This window comes from Homo sapiens, chromosome 5 (genome assembly GCF_000001405.40).
Source record: "Homo sapiens chromosome 5, GRCh38.p14 Primary Assembly".
NCBI lineage: Eukaryota > Metazoa > Chordata > Mammalia > Primates > Hominidae > Homo > Homo sapiens.
This window is the reverse complement of record NC_000005.10, coordinates 118,184,360-118,208,209: the sequence shown is the minus strand read 5'-3', so window position 1 is coordinate 118,208,209 and position 23,850 is coordinate 118,184,360. Positions and strand designations below refer to the sequence as shown.

Below are 23,850 nucleotides of genomic sequence, written 5' to 3'. Positions count from 1 at the left end.
TAGCACCCGGGCCAGCAGCTGTGGTGGGTACGCCAGGTCCCCCAGCAGTGCTGGCCACCAGCCACCAGCCGCCGGCGCAGTGCTCGAATTCTTGTGGGGCCTCCGCTGCCTCTCCGTGGGGCAGGGCTCGGGGACTGCAGCCCGCCATGCCTGAGCCTCCCCCTCCTGCATTGGGCTCCTGTGTGACCCAAGTCTCCCCGATGAGTGCTGCCCCCTGCTCTGCGGCACCCGATCCCATCTACCGCCCAAGGGCTGAGGAGCGCAGGCGCACAGCGCAGCACTGGCAGGCAGCTCCGCCTGCAGCCCCAGTGTAGCGCGGGATCCACTAGGTGAAGCCAGCTGGGCTCCTGAGTCTAGTGGGGACTTGGAGAACCTTTATGTCTAGCTAAGGGATTGTAAATACACCAATCAACTCTCTCTAAAACAGACCAATCCGCTCTCTGTAAAATGGACCAATCAGCAGGATGTGGGTGGGGCCAGATAAGGGAATACAAGCAGGCTGCGCCAGCCAGCAGTGACAACCTGCAGGGTCCGCTTCCACGCTGTGGAAGCTTTGTTCTTTCACTCTGCAATAAATCTTGCTACTGCTCACTGTTTGGGTCTGCACTGCCTTTATGAGCTGTAACACTCACCGGGAAGGTCTGCAGCTTCACTCCTGAGCCAGCGAGACCACGAACCCACCAGAAGGAAGAAACTCTGAACACATCCGAACATCAGAAGGAACAAACTCCGGACACGCTGCCTTTAAGAACTGTAACATTCACCGCGAGGGTCCGCGGCTTCATTCTTGAAGTCAGTGAGACCAAGAACCCACCATTTCCGGACACAGTAGGAAGGGAGGTGCTGAGTGAAGGGGGAAGAGTCCGTTATAAAATCATTGGATCTCATGAGAATTCACTATCAGAGGAATAGCATGGGGGAAACTGCCTCCAATGATTCAGTTATCTCCACCTGGTTTCTCCCTTGATAAGTGGGGATTATGGGGATTACAATTCCAGATGAGATTTGTGTGGGAACACAAAGCCTAACCATATTACCCACTCCCACTCTTAACACACACATTTTACCTTCTCAAACTTTCCCTCCCTCCAGCCTCCCAGAAATTAAGGGATTACATTATGCGTATATCTGTATTTTCCAAAGCTCATCCATGTGGTCTACTGGAATGTGTTCACTCTGTTGTGATGATTTGCTTATATTTATCTTTGCTTATCACTAATTAATTCCAGAAATCTTACAGAGCAAGAAGCCTTTTATTGTGGTCAAGCACATCATTTAAACTCTGTTTAATTTTGTATTTGAGGGACTTTTTCAGAGTGTTTCCCTCTCTTCTGATCTGGACCAGAATCTTTCGTTTTTGGTGGGTTCTGAACATCCTGGAAATTTTCTTCACCTTTTCTTTGTGCGCATGATGGATCCCATTTTCTGGATGCTATGACTTCCTTTTGCTTATTGCCTTGTTTTAGTCAAGCACATTCTTTAGCAGCTTCCTAAAAAAGATTGCAGGGCAGGTTACATTTTTTGGGAGCATAAATGTCTAAAAATTCTACTATTCCATTCTTAATTTGATGGTAGTCTAGCTGAGTGTAGAATTCTAGACTGCATTTCATTTCCCCTTGAAATTTTGTAGGCAATTACCTGATTGTCTCTGTAAACTAAGTGACCAATGCAAATCTCAATTGATTTATAGGTTTATGTTGCCAAAGTTGAGGACGTGCTCAGGGAAAAAGAAGTACAAGACACATAAGATTTGTGTCTTGTGCTTTTTCCAAAGTGGATTTTGAGAACTTCAATATTTAAAGGGGAAAATGGGAAGAAAGAAAAAATGGGGAGGGTAGGCAATGGGGCAAGTGGTTTCATTCCTGTGAGGCTTTGATTAGCACTCAGTGAATTTACACTTTACATGTGAAAAGATGGAAGTGGGAGGAAGTCAACTATGTATACTTCTCTTTCTCAGTAAATCTAATTTTACATAAGATTAAAGTCAGCATGTGAAGTTACATCTATCTATTCGGGAACAAAAGGAAGTTATGTTTTTGTTTTGTTTTTTTCCATGACTCAGTTCCCCACCTTAACTTTCCTTTTGGTATAGTTAAGTTTGGGGTCTTGAGATTTTATTATTTTACATATTTTAGCTTCTATATGAAAATTATAATGTCATATTGATTACTAATCTTTTATGTGACCTAGGGTTTTTTTTTTTCCACATAAACTATTTCAGACTCCTGTCTTTATTTTTAGTGTTTCTGAAAAATTATAATGGTGTGCCTTGTTGCTGGTCTCTCTTATTCATTGTTCTGTGCATTTATATATAATGTTTATTCTGGAGACTGAAGTCTTCAATGCTAGCAATGTTTGTTGTTGTATCTAATAATTTCCTCTCTTTATTTTCTCGGATCACTTTTTCTGGTTTTATATTATTTGTTTGTTTGACTGCCTGGAAAGAGCTGCTGAATCATTCGTTTTTCCTTCCATTTTTGCCTCAACTTTTCTGTTGATTTTTTATTTGAATTACCAATATCTCATTTGTAATTTTCTAGATATTTTTCTGGTTTTTGAATGTTCTTTTTATGTAGCCTTCTGTTCTTTTTATTTCAAAATTTTGATTGCAATAATTTAGATTCATATGCAGTTTTAAGAAAAAATACAGAAAGTTGTGCATACATTATTTAGGACTAATGGTAACATTTTATTAATCTATAGTATAATATTACAGTCATTGACATTGATATAATCCACCAAACTAATTCCAATTCAGCCAGTTTTCATTGTGCTTGTGTATGAGTGCATATGTGAGTGTGTGTTTGGTTCTACATAATTGTATCATATGTGTAGGTTTGTGTTTCTACCACCACAGTCAAGTTTCATCACCACGAGGGTGGCTCATATATTACCCTTTTATAACCAAACTTACATCCTCTTACTTCTCTAACCTATGTTGCTACAATTTTTATCTCTTAAAAATGTTACTTAAGTATAATCATACAATATGTATGTTTTCCAAGACTTCCTTTGTTCACTAAGGATAATGCCTTTGTGATTCATCGGAGTTGTTGTGTGCATAGTTCATGCCTTTTTATTGCTAATAGTCCATGGTATGAATAGACCACCATGTCCTTAACTGTTCACCTGTTGAATGGCACCTGGGCTGATGCCAGTTCTTAGCTGTTACAAATAAAGCTGTTATGAACATTCATACACAGATTTTTATGTGAATGTAAGGTTTTATTTTTCTGATATAATTGTCCAAGAGTGCAGGTGCTAGGTTGCATGGTGATTGCCTATTTAGTTTTAAAAGAAACTACTGAACTGTTTTCAAACTGTTTCTTGCATTCTTACGTTTGCACCAGTAATGTATGTGTTGATTCAGTTTCTCTTCATCCTCACCAGAATTTGGTGTTGTCACCATTTGTTATTTTAGTCTTCCATAGAGGTATGTAGTGCTGTGGTTGTAATTTGCAATTCCCTGATGACTATAAAGCTGAACATCTTCATGTGCTTCTTTTCAGTCTATATGTATTCTTCATTGCAATATCTTCATGTATTTTGCCCATCTGCTAATTGAATTACTTTTTTCTTATTGAGTGCAGATGATGAAGCCCAAGTTATCAATCTTTTTTACAGATTACGATTTGGTGTCAACTCTAAGAACTTGTTGCTTAGCTCTAGATACTGAATATTTTCTTCTATATTTTTTCTAAATGTTTTACAGTTTTATATTTAAAACTATAAAATGTACATAGTCCATTTTGAGTTAATTTTTGTTTAAAGGATGAGGTTTGGGACAAAGTTCATGCACTTGTCTACAGATGTCCAGTTGTTCCAGCAGCATTTGGTAAAAATGTTATTCTTCCTCCACTGAATGGCTCTACTTTTGTAAAATGAGAAGGTATGTTCGTGTGGGACTATTGTTTTTCTGCTGGGTTTCGTTGATCTACATGTCTATTGCTTTGATCTTTTATTATTGTCTTAAAGGTCCCTGAGGCTCTTTTGAGCATTTTTTTTAGTCTGTTCTTTTTCCGATTGTGTGAATTCCACTGTTCTGTTTTCAGATTCACGGATCGTATCCTCCATCATCTCCACTCTACTATGGAGCCTATCCAGTGAGCTGTTTGGTGTTTTTTAGTGCATTTTTTCAGGTTTATAAATTGCATTTGGTTCTTTTTTGTAACTTCTAATTATTTTCTGAGATTTTCTATTTTTTCATTAGTTCCTAGAGATTTATAACAGATTACTGAACTATTTTTATGACAGTTGTTTTAAGATTCTTGTTAGATAATTTCAACATCTGATTTACTATGAAGTTAATATCCATTGATGGTCATTTTTCATTCAAGTTGTGATTTTTCTTGGTTCTTCATATGACAGGTGATTTTTGATTATATGCTGGACACTTATTTATTATATTATGTGACCCTGGGTCCTACTTAAATCTTTTATATTACCAGGTAGTCACCCTGTTTAGGGTTAGCACACAGCTCTCTGCCTATTTTTCTGGGCTATGGTCCCAATGACAGTTTTTCAGAACCTTTGCGATGTTATTTTGGTCTGCTTGGTTTATCTGGTGCAGGTGGGGCTTCCACTCACCCCTGCTGGTGCTGCCTGAGGGAATGTGAGTGTCTCTTGTGGGTGGAGGGGGTGGTGGTATCCTCTCATGGGTATCCCTTGGCTGTTCTAGTGTTTCTGGTCAGAGGAGGGGAGTCTCAGGCCTGTGGGATCAAAGAGGCTTCTCAAGGCCAGTTCACTTGTTGAGACTTGGTCCTTCCTTCCAGCTCTACCTGCCTACCTCCTACCTCCTACCTCCAATTTCTTGGTAGAAAAGAGGGTCTCAGGCTCATTGGAAAAGAAGATCACTTTCCCTGGCAGCTCATTGTGGGTGGAGCGTCCAATCAATCCTGCTTGTGGTGATTTAGGGCTGACAATTTTGTCAAAGATACTCTTCTCCTGGGGAAGAATCTTCCTATGTGGGCTGCTTTCTGTTGCTAGGTTTGGGAATTGGAAGTGCTGCGTTTGAGTCATCATCTCCTGTTGAGGAGGGAGACATAGGATGCCCTGATGCTGTGTTGTTCCTCCAGTTTTGGCTTCCCAAATCAGTTCTTCTTTCTTGCTACCTTTTGGAATTCACCTGTGTTGTATCTTGCATTATTTCCAGGATTTACAGTTACGCTATGTGAGAATGAGCAGGGAGAAACCAGTTTCTCCCTAGTCTTGTTTTTATTTTGTAATTGCAATATCTTACCTGTGTTCTTATATTGTAATCACAATACCTCTCTTGTCTCTTTGAGAATCATAGTTTCTTCTTAAACATTCTCTGTCTTTCTGCGTTTTATGTTTTCTCTGTTTTTCGTTTGTTTGTTTTCCTCTCAGACTTTCATGTAAGGGTCATTCCTCATATAACTGGTGTTCTTTGCCTACTTCCTATAATTGTGAGGTTCCAAAATGATGAAAAACAGTTCTGTGCAAACAGACTGGAAAGCAGCCTTATTCCTAAACTTTCTGCTCAGTATGGCTTATTACCCTACCTATAGCTATGAATAGTCTAAGTTCTGTTTCTTCCCTGACTTAAGACTCCAGAAAGCTAACTAACCATATTTTGCCTTGTTGTGAGTTGGTGAGTCCATTGTTTGCCTAGTTTGAAATCTGTACATCTAATTGTTCTTTTTAAAAGACATTTATCTCGTGTTTTCAGCTCCCCTTTGGCCCTTGGTCTTTAGAGGTATCTGATGTTTCCACTTCCTGAGCCTTTTGGGATTTTTCAGTGTGGCAAGACTCTACTTCCTCCTTTACAAGACAGGCTTTAGTCTTTTCTGACTCACCTAAATCTATTGCCAGGTGTCCAGTTTAAAAAATTTTGTTGGCATCTTATTCTTTTATGTTTTTCCTTCCAATAGTTCGTGGGTTTATGATTTGTCTGTTTATATAATGTCATTTCAATGGGACTACAGGAAGGAAGAGAGATGAATTTATGTGTTCACATTTTACATATGTTTATTCATTTAAAAAATAATTATTAGATAAGTACCCTGACTGAGACACTCCTATAGACACTTGGTAATCACCAAAAAATTAGTTATCAATGTGTGCAAAAAATTGTAATTGTTATTTTAAAATTACATTACTAATTGTGATTTGTTGGAAGCATACCAGGTAAGGAATTGCTAGAATAAAGTCATGTGCCCAAGCATCTGAGAGAGAAGAGATCTCTAAAAAAAGTTAAATATATGAGATCTCATTAAGAGTATCAGATTAGGAGCCAGAAAATCTAGATACAAGGAGAGATTTAGTTTCATAACTAACTAGCAGTGTGAATTTATTGTTAGTAGTAAGTAAAATGAAATATTAAAGAAGTAAAATAAAATACCAATCATAATGATGAGATAACTTTTATATACTCCTTATTATGAGTAAGGATTAGACACTATAGCACATTTTTTTGTGTTTGTTTCTATTGTGGTGAAATAATACATAAAACTTACCATTTTAACTATTTTTAAATGTACATGTCAGTGGCATTTAGTACATTAATGATGTGCTACCATCCCACAGTATCCATTTCCAGAACTTTTTTATCATCCCAAACAGAAACTCTGTGCCCATTAAACAATAACTCCCCATTTTCCCTCCCGTCAGGCCTTCTGCTTTCTGTCTCTATGAATTTGCCTGTTTTATATTTATCATATAAGCAGAACGATACAATATTTGTCCTTTTGTATCTAGCTTATTTCACTTAGCATAATACTTTTTTTTTTTTTTTTTGAGATGGAGTCTCTCTCTGTCACCCAGGCTGGAGTACAGTGGTATGATCTTGGCTCACTGCAAGCTCCACTTCCCGGGTTCATGCCATTCTCCTGCCTCAGCCTCCTGAGTAGCTGGGACTACAGGCACCCGCCACCAGGCCTGGCTAATTTTTTGTATTTTTTTGGTAGAGATGGGGTTTCATCGTGTTAGCCAGGATGGTCTCGATCTCCTGACATCGTGATCCACCTGCCTCGGCCTCCCAAAGTGCTGGGATTATAGGCATGAGCCACGGCACCTGGCCAGCTTAATACTTTCAAGATTGATCTGTGCCATGCATGGAGAGGAATTTCATTTATTTTTAAGGAGATGAATAATATTTCATAATATATATACACCACATTTTGTTTATCCTTTCATCTGTGGATGGACATTTGGGTTGTTTCCACCTTTTGGATGTATCTATCTGTATCTATATTTATATCTAATACCTAATACCTTAATGTTCTTACAGCAACATTAAGACACAATTATTATGATTCTCTTAACATCCTAAACAGAAGTTAGTCAAAACACATGGCCAAAGATTGTATAACAATTAAGTAGAATGGGGTTGAATTAATGTCTGTCTCACTCCAAAATGAGACAAAACTTTACTTACATAATTTTTAAAACGTAGGAGCCACCTCAGGAATAAGGAAAGAGCTTGAGGAGACTCTGATACTGATTCTTCAAACCTCCAACTTTAACCAGGTCACCTCTACCTTTCTGTGATTGACATTTTGTTTGAACAAAAGATTCCGTCTAAAATAAACACAACTTTTTAAAAATGAAATGAAAGTCCTTATATCTCCAAATTTAAAACTTTCAATGATATTTATATTGTTAGGAAATAGATGTCTTAAATGTTGCAAGGTTATTAAATAACTTAGGAGAAAAAGGATAATGTTTTCTAATTAAGTTGAACAAACTCTGTCGAGAAAAATTGTGAAAGCCTGTAAACAATACTAGTAAAATATTACTAAGTTTTATATCTTATGTGTTCCTCTGCATTATATCCGCCTTTCAGTGCTTTTGATCTGTTTTACAACTGTACATTGTAGAAAACATAAAAATGCAAATAATTCTCATCTGTAGAAATGCAAATGAAACTCATTTGATGAAATGCAATTATTACTTCATGAAAAGAGAGTTTTGCTTTTTATTTTTTTAATTTTATTTATTTATTTGAGGTTTGGAAGTCCAAACTCAAGACACTAGCATATTTGGTGTCTAGTGTGGGCCCATTTTGTCATAGATGGCTCCTTCTTTGTGTCCTCACATGTTGGAAGGGGTGAATAAACTCACTCAGACCTCTTTTTATAAAAAGATATAGTCCTTATGGCCAATTACCTCCCAAAGGCTCCACTCCTTAACACTATTACATTGCGGATTAAGTTTAACATATGAATGGCGGGGGACAAAAATATTCAGACCCTAGCAGGTAAAGTCAGAGAGTTTTCATCAGCTGAAATGTTTTTGATTCTCATTTTTTGTTGTCTTTATGTGAAATAGGTTTATATGGATAGCTTTATATGAAACTTGCCTCCTATGTTCTGTACTTTTAGAAATACCTTTAATTGTCCTTGGTTAATGTGATACTCCATATGGAAGAGATCAGAGGTTTCAGTCATTTCTAGGGCTCTTACATTCTTAGTTCTTTAGTTCTTTTGTTAGTTATTGATATTTATATATCAAGAAAACCAGCCCTTTATTCATAAAATGTGCTGCAAATATATTCTCTAGTTTATGTGTTTTTTTTCCCTAGAGTTTTGCTTTTTAAAATAAATACATTTCAGAATTCTGATTGACCTATGGATGTGAGATCAGTATCTTACTGGATCCCTCAGTAGTTAATCAGTTAAACAAAATATTTTGCAAGAGATCATTTTATATTTGTGTGAGTCATGATATTACCTTTTTATAAAAATTATCATTGAATGATTTGCTGACCTGAGATTTAGGTAACCAGTCCAAGGCCTGGAGATTCACTCTTGACCAAGCCTTAGAGAAATTCCTCCAAAAAGGGAATCCTCTCCTAGGTACCCAGAGGAGCTTGTGAAAGTACTCACAGACTCACAGAATTCCTGAGCTGCACAAGCTGACTCTAGAGATCATGACTCCCCTCCGTACTCTCCTCACATTGTAGAGGATGAAGCAGAAGCTCAGCAGACCCACTAATATGTTCAGTCTTCCAGTAAGGGAGTTACAGGCAGAGGCAATCCCAAGGCTAAGATTAGGTCTCCTAACCTTACAGCAAGAAATCTCTGGCTTGGACTGGCATTTTCCACATTAGTGGAAAATATGGAACTATCACAAAGCTATGCAGAGAATGTTTGGAATAGAAAAAATGAACTTTATTAATAAAGGAATGTTTTCTGAACTGTAGAACACATCAATCCAATGCAGTTATCAATTTGTCTCATTTTCATAAACTTTTACCTTGACATGACTCAGGTAACTTTTTGACTTTATTATTTCTGTTCTAAATTATTCATGTCATTGTTAGTATGCTATGTAAATATTGACATCCTCAACATTTTAGACTAATGGTCTTGGGAGACAAGTTTATTCCAAATGGACTTTGTTGTTAATGTAAAATATTAATATTTTAAATTTATTTTTGTTTTATAAATATCCAGGATGGGTGTTAAATGTTAACAGAGTTAGAAATGAACTTATCAACAATGTATCAGGAGACTTTGATCTGGAAAATCCACTTAATTGTGAAGGAAACAAATGTTTTTTCTTCGAGCAAACAAAGGTCACCAACCTTATGCATCAGATCATTTCTTAATAAATATATCATAGTGGCATAAATGACATTTCAGTACAAATGAAAATTTTTTATTGTAATGTAATCATGAGTGTTAGGCAGAATACAAATATTAAGTATGAAGGAAATAAATATGTCATATGCTTCCAAATTGTTTGTGTTATTCCTTTAAAATAGCTTTCATTCTCTTTCTGCCACTCAAAAAAACTTTGTTCAATTTTTAATAATGGTACCTCTCCATCATGATTGCTGATTCTGAGCCCTCTCTCTCACTTTGAACCTACCAGGATTTATGCATTTGCATCATTGATGTAGAATCATATCAGCTTTATCTTTGTTTCTAAACTCATTCATTCAGCACCATTTATTGAGTATCTTTGTGAACCAAGGTCTGTATTAGGTATTATCACTTTACTTTGGTCTTGAGGGATGAAGAAAATTTTGCAGATAGAAATGTGGAAATGGAACGTTATGAAGTTGGAACAGCATTTGCAAAAACATGAGATGGTGAAATGACATGATATCTTCAGAAAAATGTCAATGCTTGGAGCATGAAGTCCATATACTAGTTGAAATTGAAGTTGGAGAGAGAGGTGAGGAAATCTAGCTTTACTGTTTGGCTCTTCTACCCAACTGGATTATGTGTTCCTGCAACCTAGAGATTACATAGTATATTATTAATTATTTGAGAAGTTTTACATTTTTTTCATTTCCTGGGTAAAGTTAATACAATGCAGTAAAAATGTTGTGGCAAGTACTGCGGGATTGTCTCCCAATTTGTATTCTCTCCTTTCCCTTCTATAGACTCTCCACATTTCAGCAGGTAAGACAAGTGTGTGTATGTGTGTGGGGGTGTGTGGGTGTGTATTTACACATGTATGCATGCACAGGAACATATGTTTTAATCAGCAGGTTCCTGCCCCGCTGGAAGTCTATTCAAGCAGGGACTTAATATTTTATTTCCTGCTGTTCCCCAGAGCCTAGACAATATCAATCATGTTGTAGGTGTTGAAAAAATTCTTGTTGAATTGATTAACCAATTAGTTTATAAAAAGAAGATAGTTGGAATGATATGGCTTTGTGAAGAAAGAAAATATTTTCATTTAAAAGTTACGCTTTGTAATTGAAAACACATAATTGGAAATGAAACAAATAAGTCAATAAACAGGTTTTCCTTCACATCTGATAGAAGACAAGGGTAAAAAATACTCTCCAACTGACTCATTTCTTGAGGAAAATGAAAGAGAAAATGATAGATGGAAAAATGACACGAGGAAGATAGAAAAACTTAAATGTCAAAGAGAAAAATAGATTTCAACAAAGAAAACTGATGAAAGGACTGGTTAGTTACTAGTTGGATAATTTATCAAAAAACACATTGCAGAAAGAAAAACTGTACTGTTAAGACTATAAAGAGCAGGATGGCTCCTGACACCCCTGAGTTTAGGGTTTTAAATTGGTATGACTTTGTGTTTAAGAGAGAGATTCATCATACCTTCCCAATGCAAAGCTGAGGTTGCAGAACCCGAGAGCTGAAAATCATGCCTTGAGTTTAGTTTTGTAGGAACAATTTTAAAAAGATAAAGTCTAATTTGTCCTATTTTATGTTTTTAATACTGTGATGAAAATGGAATTTATTCAAAAAACCTAGGATGATTTGAGTCTTCAAAATAATTAAAATGAAATCACCAGTAAGATATACTTTCATTAAGCTGTTCAAAAATATTTAATAAGACTTAAACTGTGTGCAGGCTCTATGCAGGATGCTAAGGGAAAAATTGGTGAATAAGATAGTAGTCCTTGTCCTAATCAACTTTCTATTCAAGGAAAAAAGAGACTGAAACACACGTATACACACACATAACAAAAGAAATTAATAGTCAATTACTATTTCTTGTGAAAGAAATAAATGAAAAGCAGAGAGAAAGTATGAGACAGAGTGAAGCTATCTGCTTAAAAACAGCATGGTTAGAGAAGGCTCTTTGAGAAGATGGATTTAGGCAGATACCTTAAAGTGAGAAGGTAATAGATATGTAAAGAGATTGGGAAAGAGTGTTACTGACAAACAGAATATGCAAAAAGTTTCTACAAAAAGAAGGAATTTAGTCCAGAATCACAAAAACTTCAGGTGTGTGAATCCTAGCAAATAAAGAAGATGGGAAGAATGAACCTGACACATTAGGTAGGAGTTAGATCATGATGAGCTCTCTATTCTATGGTGTGGCAGTCAGCTTTATTCTCAGGGCAGTGGAAAGCCATGGGAAGAGACCCAAAGTAGGGCAATGAGCTCTTGCCCTCTTTTCTTTGGAAATCGGTGTCAGGAATTAAATTAAAATATAGCTACTTGTTCAGCAACATATCCACTCATTTGAGTCGGATTCAGAAAAATACCTCCTGGAAATTTGTTTCCATTTTTGATAAACCAGAGTAAGATTATTTGTGCTTCTTTATGCTGCTGATGCCTAGGAACAAAACTTAAAATTGTATATAGGTTAATTATGTTGTATCCTTTTTTTTTTTTTTTTTTTTTTTTTTTACTGCATGCAGTTATGCTTTAGGGGAAATGATTTGACTTTTGCTGAATCTAAATCCACAGGTCACTTGAGCTGATTAATATTCTAAAAATTTTCATTTTGAAGATTTTATACATATTTATCTTGATCATACTTACCTATAATACTTTGCCTTGTTATATCAGAAAGTGGAATGACAGGACTAAATGAAATAACTACTCAATCTAGGTGGCTTACCTACTTCCTGTTTGTAAGGCATCAAGTTTGGGTATAAAGCAGTGTTTTCCCGAATTTATAATACTTACATCACTGGCACAACTCTTATATTTCTAAATATTATTTGCTTTATTTTGAGAAATGAGATATAACAAACTGTGGTTCTGATGTGCTGGTTATATATTTTTAATACATGTAAAAATGAGTGCATAACAACAAATTTATTGGACATCAAGCAAAAATATAAAACATACTTTAGAGAAAAACTGGCATAAACAAATAAGATCATTTTTTCATAGAGCTCAACCATGCACCAAAAGTATCCCTTGGGTGGACAGACACAGAGTCTGTGCCTCCTAAAAAATCAATAGCAACAGACCATGACAGAAGCATAAGCAAAAACCGAGCCCCAACTCTATTTTAATAATCTGTACTCCCTGTAAACTGCTGAGGCATGGGACAACTCGACAGACTGTGTTTACAATGCATGAATTACTGTCGGGCACTCTCAGCCAAAAGAAGCTCCAACTTTCACTTCTGATCTGGGTCACTAGAAACAGCTCTTCAGTCTATTGATTTGGAGCTCATGACTAGAAAAGACTAGTGAAGAGCACTGCTATCAGAGGCTCAAGCCTGTCTCACCTCTAGCTCCTCCACGTGAAACACACACATTTGGTTACATGGAAGTCTTTTGCTGACTAGCAATTAATAAATTGGAACAATTAAGAAAATAGGAAATAATTTCACAATCAAAAGCAAGACTAACATTGAACCTAATTTGGATGAGGCAGAGTCTTGGTCAGCTAAAAGGCAAGTCAGATAATAATTGTGTTGAAATTTGTATTAGCTCTCTCTTAACTCTCTCCTCAAGGAGCAGGTATGTAGTTTGTCATCTTAAAAGGCAGAAATTCACTTGTTCAGTCCAATTTAACCTTCAGAAACATGCTTTAAAACAAACTGCTCAGAAGATCAATAGTGTTACAAATGAGAGGCTGAGGTAAAGGTTAGGAGTAGAATTTACCATGATAAATTCTAATGGGGCTTTCTAATAATTTACTGTTTTCTTCCCTTTTTCATTAGAACCATATTTCAGAGTCCTCTATCTTCTCTCTTTCCCTCTCTCCCTCTTCCTCTCCCTCTCATATTCAGATTATATTTTAAACTAGTACATAAGGGAATTTTAAATATACACTATAATATAGAAAGAATGTCATGATCGCAAATTATAACGTTTTAAAAAGTGCAAATTTTAAGCTCAAATTGTGTCCTCTCTGTTCATTTTAACTTAGCAAACATTTGTCAGTGTGTATTATATGCTACAATACTTCCTGTTATTTTCAGGATAGGAAAATGACTAACATGTAATCACTAATCTTTAGGAGCTTCCAATCTATTGGGGAGAGTGATAATAGACGTATAATGCACCCACAAAGAGCTATAACATAAGGTAGAATGTGATCTGAGCACTAAGGAAATTTAAAAGGGGTGTTGTGATCACTAGTTCTGGCCAAAATAATGTAAGGGACAGTTTTTCTCTCTCTCTCTCTCTCATTTTTTTTTTAAAGGGACGGGAGTAGGAATTACACTTGAGCCTCTATTCCACTATCTGCAGTATTTTCTCCAACTTGAGTCCCTGATGGTCAGTTCTTCATTACTACCACCTGGTTCAGTGTTTAGAACCATGTGACACACATAATGATTATTCAGTAGAAGAAAAACTGAGAAAGTGAAGCCTGGGATATATGGGGGAAAGCCTGACAACTATGTTAGTGAACATGAATGTGATCAACACTCAGAATTCTTTTCATGGAACTCACTGTTCACTGTCGGTAACTTTTGGACATCAATGTCATCAAGACATTAAGGTAATGTTCCTGGAATGATATTTTGTTTATAGTTTACTACTGTCCCATTGAAACTAAATGCAAAACAAAATCTTGCTTGATATGTATTTGAAATAGGAAATAATAGGAAGGTAGTCACTTCCTACCTTCCTAGGAAGATAGCAATGATGATAAAATAGGACTTCCTATGAAACCTAGCAGCTTTTATAACTCATATTCATTATCTTATTTGACCTCACAATAACCTATGCATAATGCAAGAGTGAATCAGAGAGGTTCAGGAACTTTCCAAGAAAAAGAGAACCAGTAATGATCAAAGCTAGGGCAAGGACCCAGATTCTGTCTCCACATTCCTTTCATAAAACTACAAAAAAACCTCTGTGATACAAACCTAATCATGAAATTTAAGTCCTGCCAGGATTGTCCTTTTTGGGAACAAAAAAGACCAACAGACATCAAAAAAAAAAGAAAAAAAATACTTCAGCTAGTGCAGAATTTCTGAGATTCTTTTTTGCCATTATTTCCATGGGGTTTAAGTGATTCATTTGATTAATTAGGAGCTGAGTCAGCTACCTTCTTTTGACAGTATTTGATTGCCTTTTGCTGTGGCCTAGGATCTATTTTTATTGATTGTGCTTCTGAACCTCTCACTATTACGTTGTCAAATATTGTTATATTAAATGGTTTGGTTCCACACTATGACTTAAGCTTCACTAAAAGGAACTACATTAGTCAGAAATTTGTCATGATCAGATGAAAAACTGGAATGTTTAAATGTCATCATGAACAACCTCTACGATCTGTCATATCACATGTTGGCCTCTGGTCATTAGCAGTGAAGAATGTGTACTACAATATTTAGCCTTTTCTCCACTTTTGAATAATAGGTTTGCATGTGTTTACATATGTATTATATATGTGTTATGCATGTGTGCATATATTCTTACACACTGTATCCTTAAGCTGCTTTGTTATTGGTAGAAGATGCTGTGAAATAGTGCGATAAACAGAAAAGTTGAATGGAAAAAGTAGAAGTCATAAATGATTTGAGAAAGAAGTAACATGTACTTTTAGAATTATTAGTATAAAAATGGAGTGGTATCCACATAATCAACAGAAGAGAAATAACAAAAAAAAGACCAGGAGGAAAAAATTATACTTAATAGTGGTATCATTGCTTCCTCAGATTCACTTCTAGCAATAAAATATTCAATATCTCACTGGTGATTGTCAAAGGTAGTTGGGACAACTCTTGCCCCACTGTAATTGACTAATACCATTGTGATAGATGTATCTTATTATTTTACTAGCTCTATTTCAGCCATGTTTCCTTAACTGAAAAACACATTCACCACAAAGATGATATTATCCCAATGTGGCATAAATTTTTTCTGAGGGGAACCAAAAAAGCCCCTACACATTTAATGTATAAAGCACATAGATTAGATATATAGAGAGTAGATAAACAGATATAGAGTGTAGTTGTGATATTTAAATTTCATGAGGGAAGGGTTGACTAGGATAACAACGCTTGAAAATTCTCCTTGGAAGGTGATAATGAAAAAAAATTGATTGAGAACTGCCACTCTAGACTTAGTAATCTCTAAGGTTATTTATGATTCTTTCTATGATTATGGGCTTTTATGTCTTAAATGTTATTTTTATTATATCATTAAAGACACTGAGGCAAAGAGAATCTTTTGAGATGAACAATGCAACATCATTAGTTGTATCAGCAATGTTATTTTGAGCTTAAAGAAGGGCCGGATATAATAAGGTCTACTTGGGGAGAAATTAAAGGAGTATAGGAGATTTCATCCTTTTCTTATGTTCAGACATGATTTATAAGGTAGCTGGGATCTGGAACTAGAATCATCGTATTGGGGTATGGTGTGAGGGAAAACACTAAAGAGAGCTGGTAGAATTTGTGGTAGAATTCATTTGTAAACATGCCAATTTCTGTGCATCAATATTCACCTTTAGGAACACTTAATTTTAAATGTTTGTATAATTACTCTTATTTTGTTTCTTTGATATATTATGTAAGTAGTTTCAAACAGTGATAAGATTTTTTAAAAAAGAAAATGACAAACTGGCAGCCATTTTATATTGCTTTTGTAATTTCATAATACTTGGTGCATAGAAAGTAAATAGGCATTGATTTTCATTCCTGACTTGTGGTTCAGGTCATTTTGAAGGAGTTAAAATGAATTTCAAGGGCATCCTTTTGGCCTTTCTACAGAGATGGTATTCACCAGTATGTTCTCCAGCCTTTTAGGCATACAACTATAGACACACACTCTTATAGCAACACTTTTATAATTTACAGATGTTTTAAAAAATACAGCTTACAATGTTAATGTACTTAGAAAAGGCTAGTAAAAATCAGAGTCCTGCCTCCATAAAATACAACCTTCATTACCTGACTTGGCATACTGACTGTCTTTCTACTTTTGAATACAACTTTGCCATTCAAAACACAAGTTATGGATAATTTATTAATGTCAAAATTTTAGGAATAGATGGGATACAACACTTTCTAATTAGTCAATTTAGTGAGCAAGAAAGTGTGCTAAGAGTGCTGAAAAGCGTTGTTTTTGTTTCTTTATTTTAATAGGAAGGGGGAGTTCAATTGTAAAACAAAATCCATGTGATCCTTAAGATAGAAATAATAAAATTACAGAAGTTATATATCAGAATGAATATTATCCTTTTAAAATTGTTTTTATAATTCTCAACAAAAATGGTAAGAGAAGATTTTGAAACTAGAATGCCAGGTGTGAATTAGTAGACGGATGCAGAATGAATAACAATGTAGGTTTGGCATCTGGGACTTTGCTGTTTAGAACAATGTTTCATAATTAATTATAAAAAATATATTCATTGAAGATGAAATTTAATAAATTCCATTTAAATATATAAGCACATTTGATATATACATGTATAATTTATTTCACAAATATATATAGAATACCTACAGTGTCAATATAACACTCATAATTATTTTTTTCCAGAGACATTGAGAATAAACTCAATAAATACAAAAGTGTTAATTTCAAATTTTATGCCCTATTACATCTTTTTGTTTGTGTATTTATTTGTCTTCCAACTTGAGGATCAATATACAACTTCAACAATAAAATTAATTTTAAAAGAGCTAACTCTGAGAGTGCACACGTATACACTCATCCACATACTTACTTATATATGTACTGCCAAATTTCAAATTACATTTTACTTAACTACTTTGGTGCCATTCCAAGCACATAAACAATATTTGTAAGTCCGTTTATTTTAGATTGATGAAGTTTCTAATTCTGCACTTGGAGGAAGGTACGCCTCTCCAAGAATGAGAAATTAACTTTTCTTTAATAATTTGACCTATTCTTGACACCACTGTTAACACTCTGAGCTCTTAACATAAAATGCCATTTACCAAGAGTAACAGTATTTACAGAAGGATTGAGTTTGCTCTTTTTATTTATTTTCAAGTTATCCAGCTAGCGTGTTATTGCCATAAAGCCTAATTATAAATTAACCCAATTTAATTTTGTGGAGTTGTGATTTGATCCAGATCATTTGAGTCTAGATGTTTTGCAATACATCTTATCCTTTAAAAAAAAGTTACATTAGCCCTACTGAAGCTCCAAAAAATTCAATATTCCATTTTAAATATCTGAATTCTTTTAGGATCCCTTCAATGCTGAAAATCCATCATTCAGATGGACTGTATAAATGAACATTTAGTACTTTGAGTGGCATCCTTACATCCTGAGTTGAACTGGCTTCTTTCAGCCCCTATTATCAACGGGGAGAACACTGCCACCTCATGTGTTAGCTCTGTCTGTAGGCATTCATCATGAGCAGAGGGTGATGGTGATGGGGTGGTTTGAAGCCAAGCAATCAAAGGAAGAAGATGACATATACATAAAGACACTTAGGCTGAAATGTGTGAATTCTGTCCTCTGATTAAGTTTTTCAATCATATGTCAAATACTGACCCTATTAATTCCCATGTTTATGTGCTATTTTTATGGTCATCATTTCTTCTCTGTAACATTGGGGCAGACCCAGAGAACTTCCTGGATTGTTGCAAATAGACCCTGCAGAGTGGTAATATTGTTCTAGAGAAAGCAGAAAAAGACTGAGGAGGAAGAGTTGGAAAGAAAAATTTACCCATGAGTAAAGACATGTTATTTTTAATCTTTGAAGTCTGTTTTAAAATAAAAGATAGTTAAGACTGTAGCAACCATGACTTGCCATATTATTTTATATCTGATTCTACTTTAGGCTAAATCTGTAATTGGACCACCTGGGCTAGAAAATGAGAGGCCTTGGTTGTTAACGTGTGTTTGACAGCTTAATTCTCTTTGAAAAATTTCAAACAGAAAGGCTTAGGCTTCCTCAAGGGATAAAAAATAGTGGCTTAGGCCTGCCAGGACAAGAAGCTCTTATCTTAGTTTTGCATCTGACTTGTTTCATCCCACCTTCCTTCTTTGTGCTCATTTGTAAAATGTAAATTGAAGAATTAATTTACCTCTCAAGGTAATATTGATGGAATCAAGAAAAATGGTTGCATAACATTTTGAAAGTATAAAGACCTATGTAAATGTCAAATTATAATGATAAACTCAGTAGCCCAATTATCCATGACAACACTTCCCACTGTTTGATTAACCAGATGAAAAAAATTAGACATTTTTCTTAAACAGCACCCTTCAAAAAATGTACAGCTTACTCTAGAAGGCAGGCTTTTTTTTTTTTTTTTAACACAATTCTTAATGTCTCACTGAAATTTTAGCGGAAAAGGTGGCACATTTTGACATCTCAAGGATGTGCAACCTTATATAAGTTGTATAATTAAATTATAAAAAGCCATTTAATTTAAATTATATCACCTGGGTCAAGATTTTATTTTTATTAAAGGCTGAAGTCTATAGACTACTCTGTGCCATATTTTGCTTTAATTTGGTGCCTGGAGTGGAACTCAGGTCTTAGTTAAATTTTAATTTTGTTGTGTTTTTGTATTAAAAATGCCAAACCTGATTCACTTTTAGGAATGAGATTTTTCCAATAATATTGTTGGGTTACTTTTACTCATTCTAGGCAAATAAGTGATTTGTTTCATTCTCTTTTTTTTTGCCCATGACAAATTTGTATTTGCTAAACTTGTACATATTTGGTAGATCCTATGCCAGGTGATCTGAGTTTATAATATATCCCTTTTATTGATACATAATACTTATTTGTGGGGTACATGTGATATTTTCTCACATGCATAAAATGGGTAATGATCAAGTCAGGGTATTTAGGTTGTTCGTCACCTTGAGTATTTATCATTTCTACGTGTTGCAACCATTTCAAGTCCTCTCTCCTAGCTATTTTGAAATATATATTACTGTTAACTATAGTCATCCGACTCAGCTATCAAACATTAGAAATTATTCTTTCTATCTATCTGTGTGTTTGTACCCATTAACCAATCTGTCTTCATCACTGTCCTCCCTGTAGCCTTCCCAGCCTTTGGTATACCTATGATTCTACTCTCTACCTTTATGAAGTCCACGTTTTTAGCTCCCACATATGAGTAACAACATGCAATATTTGCCTTTCTGTGCCTGGATTATTTCACTTAACATAATGACAGTTTCAGTCATGCTGCTGCTAATGACAGGATTTTATTATTTTTTAAGGTTTAATAGTATTCCATTGTGTATTTGTATCACATTCTCTTTATTCTTTTGTCCATTGGTGGACACTTAAGTTGATTCCATATCTTTGCGATAGTGAATAGTGCTATGATAAACATGGAGCTGAACATACCTTTTTGATATACTGATTTCTTTTCCTTTAGATAAATACCCTGTAGTGGAATTGATGGTCCATATGGTAATTTTATTTTTAGTTTTTTGAGAAATCACCATATTGTTTTCCATAGCGGTTGTACTGATTTACATTCCCACCAACCGTGTATTTTTAACACAAACTTCAAAGATAACTGAACAGTAAATAGTTAAAAAAAAACACAAACCTTCCAAGGTCCTACAATGGACCAAATCTATAGAGAAAAATTGGTGAGTAGGAATTCATCTAGGGTACTGATAAATCTCTATTGAAAGAAATAGGATTCTAGTTGTTTTTAAAGCCTATTAAAAGAAAATAACCATCTTAACAGGACAGTTAACAGAGCATGTTCACTGCTAAAGAGCTATACTTTGCAAATCCAAATCTAAGGGCCAAGCCATCTTCTAATTCAGATACCTGTAACAATGCTGTAAACAGTCCATGCCTCGGGCTTCAATGGCCAGCTCACGAGACAACAGTTTCTAATGCAACCTTTCCTGAGAAGAGAGACATAGAGGGATGCTAAGAATCACAATTTTCTTTCTGTTCCTGAAAAAATGCTATCTATGACTGCAGAGCCTGTGGCCATGAGAGGGCACTGGGTACTTCAGGTAGAGAGTGAGGAGAGAAAAGATTTAATGTATTACCCACTTCAATTTTTTGCTCTGAGGTCAACTCTGAGTAGATTGCTGGAGCCAGTTCAAAATGAATCAACTTGGTGAAAGACAGTGGTGAAATTGGCAATGGTGGCTCTGTGTCATTAGACGTTTGCCAAAACCTGTAGAACGTACAACACAAATAGTGAAATATGTAAACTAATGGTTTTGGCTAACAATAATGTATCAATATAGGCTCATCTATTGTTAACACATGTACTACACTAATGTAAATGTTAAAATAGGGGAAAGTGGGATGGTGGGAGGAGAGAATGTAAGAATATAGAAATGCTATATTTTCCACTTACATTTCTGTAATCCTAAAACTGGTCTGAAAATCAGTATGTTAATTATATTTAAAATTTTTTAAAGAAATTATTTATAACTGTCATATTTTCCCCCTTCTGTAATATTTTTAAAATTATTTCTATTAATGAAAAATTTTGGTATGTGCTAACATCTTATTCATACTTGTGCCTTCTGTTTATCCCAATCAGGAACATATCACCCCACCATGTTAAAAAAATTAATAAATTAACATTTTTATGAAGAATATACTTAGTGAGAGATCTGATAAAAATAGTAGTCAATGACCTATTAGGTCAGAGTTCTGACAACTCTTCATGCCTTAATTTTGAGTCATGATGTAATTCCTGCATAGCAAATAGAATCCGATCACATAATATACCAAAAACAAACAAACAAACAAAAACCGTCATTTTTATATGCTTTAGATGGGACAAAACTAAAATTATTTTAAGAAATAGTGTTATGAAACACAATTAAGATGAACTGAATTCAGCTAAAATGGGAGACTTGACAACATGTTCTATTAGTCTGCTCTCATGCTGCTAACAAAGACATACCAGAGACTGCGTAATTTATAAAGGAAAGAGGTTTAATTGACTCACAGTTCAGCAGGACTAGGGAGGCCTCAGGAAACTTACCATTATGGCAGAAGGGGAAGCAAGGCTGTCCTTTTTCATATGGTGGCAGAAAGGAGAAGAATGAGAGCCCAGCTAAGGGGGAAGACCCTTATAAAGCCATCAAATCTCGTGAAAACTAACTTACTATCACCAGAACAGGATGGGGAAACCACCCTCATGATTCAGCTATCTCCCCCGATCCTGGCCATAACACATGGGGATTATGGGAACTACAATTCATAATAAGATTTGGGTGGGGACACAGCCAAACCATATCACGTATATTCTCTCACTCCTCTTTAAATCATTGGAAATATAGGTACAAAATTATTTATAAAAGCAACTCATAACCCAAAATGAATGGAATCTTTTAACAGATGAAACATTTAGGAAATATTAGTAAGTTTATCCTACACACAATATTGTATATCTTATTTTTTAAACATTTAACATATCTGGATGATCTTGCCATATTAGTACAGAAAGATCTAAATCATTTGTAGCATTTCTAGTAAATTTACTAATTTCCTATTGATGGAAACTTATTCTTAGGTTTTTTTTTTGCTAATAAAAATGTTTCAGTTAGCTTGAACATATCTGTGTATAACTGAAAAAACATTTATAAGATGAATTATTAAAAGTGAATTTTGGGATCAAAGGTTGTGTGTATTTTAAATTTTGACAGATAATACCAATTTAATAATGTCATATGTTTAAAAATCTAATGAAGTATTCTATAGATTTAGTTGACAGAATTATCTGATCAGTGAATCCAAATTAAATAGTGAAACCAATATTGAAACTTAAAACTGTACAATGCTGGAACACATAGAGAGTCTTAATGCAAAGTTAAGTATATAAACAATTATAGTAAAACACTACAGCATAATAACAGCCTCCTCCACAATTTTCAGCAAGCTGAAATCATTTTGCCTTTGTGATTACACTGAGGAAAATTATGCTTAAATTATGAAAATCCTTTTTTAGATTCACAGGCAGTATTTCTAGTTTACCTATATACCTAAAGATAACCAGAGTTTGACCCTCAGTTGGTTTGATTTATCTTATTCTTATCCTACCTGAGTATTTGTTTATTATAATAAGACCTTATTAGAAATCATTTTTATAAAAAAATCAATTGATATATTCATTTTCTCCCCTCTCCATTTCTGTTGAAATGATGAATTTGAAAGAAAAAAATGTAATTTTAAAAACAGTTGGCCTTGTTCTGAGAAATTCCTCTATGTACCAGTTTTTGCCCTTTGGCCACATCTTTGCTGTTGTGGATCAGGGGCATTGTATTGCATATAAGTTCTGTTGAGCGTAATGGCTAGTGCAGTTACAGCCCACCAATAACAGCAGGAAGCCCCTTCGTCTGTTGGCTCTGCTTACAGAACTTTGAAGTAAGGAGACTGTGATTGTAACACATACTTCCTAGGGTACACCATGGAGATAAAGTTGAAAACCACCATCTGGATTCTTTAAGAGTTATGCTGAGGCATGCCTAATGATGGTAGCTCCAGTAATATACCCCATACTGTCTGGCAACAGCATCATAATTGTTTTAAATGCACGGTATGTAGGTCATACAGCTTTATTCAAGTGAACTGTAAAGGTTTGCATTCTCTCACTTTATTAAAAAAAACATTGAAATTGCCTACATTTTGCTGGAATAGTGACCCTGAAAGCACACAAAGCCAAATAGTTAAACTAAAAAACATGCTTGTTTTATATATTAATGCACTCTCCTCTACAAAGAACCAACCCTTATAAAGTTTTAAGTGAACTGTGAAAAGTTTATGCCATTATTATCCAAATGCTGTTTAACCCAAGGTTAACCATAGTAATGTGAGAACAGGCGCCACTGAGCCCTAATGGGAAACAGTAAGGTTTTGTCTGCACAGACGGGTGTTCTCCTGGCATTTTCCTAATGTGACAGTGTGAACTCACACAGCTCAGAGCCCTGATGTGGAATCAAACCTCAAAGGTCTCCGACGTAAAAAGCTGAAAACATTCTGGAGATGCTTGGAGCTCTGCACAACCTTTCACTACTTGACTTACTCCATAATGTTTAATGGGCCAAGTTCTCACCTTGTCCTTTCAGGCTGAAGGCCAAATCTGAGAGTGAGGTTTGAATTCAGTTTGATCTATAATCCCAGATGAGCTTTGTAAAGCAGTAGAACAAGAGAGAAATTTGTTTCACTGTGTGCACAGACACCAACATTTAATTTCATGTTTTTAAACCTACTTCTTTTGGGATAGAATTTAAGCTATGGCATGTGCTGAATGCTGAGTAGAGTG

The 23,850-nt window shown here is 35.2% G+C and overlaps 2 long non-coding RNA genes across 2 annotated transcripts in view; both read right to left on the bottom strand.

The window, feature by feature from the left end:
- Positions 1-23,850, bottom strand: part of LINC02147 (long intergenic non-protein coding RNA 2147) — a 535,702-nt gene that overhangs the window by 57,853 nt on the left and 453,999 nt on the right. The gene's annotated exons all lie outside the window — the stretch shown is intronic.
- On the bottom strand, positions 1,235-20,741 carry LOC124901051 (uncharacterized). Its single transcript, XR_007058910.1, has 2 exons — positions 20,619-20,741; positions 1,235-1,490 (listed from the first exon to the last, which is right to left on the bottom strand). It is a non-coding gene; the product is annotated as an uncharacterized LOC124901051 (long non-coding RNA).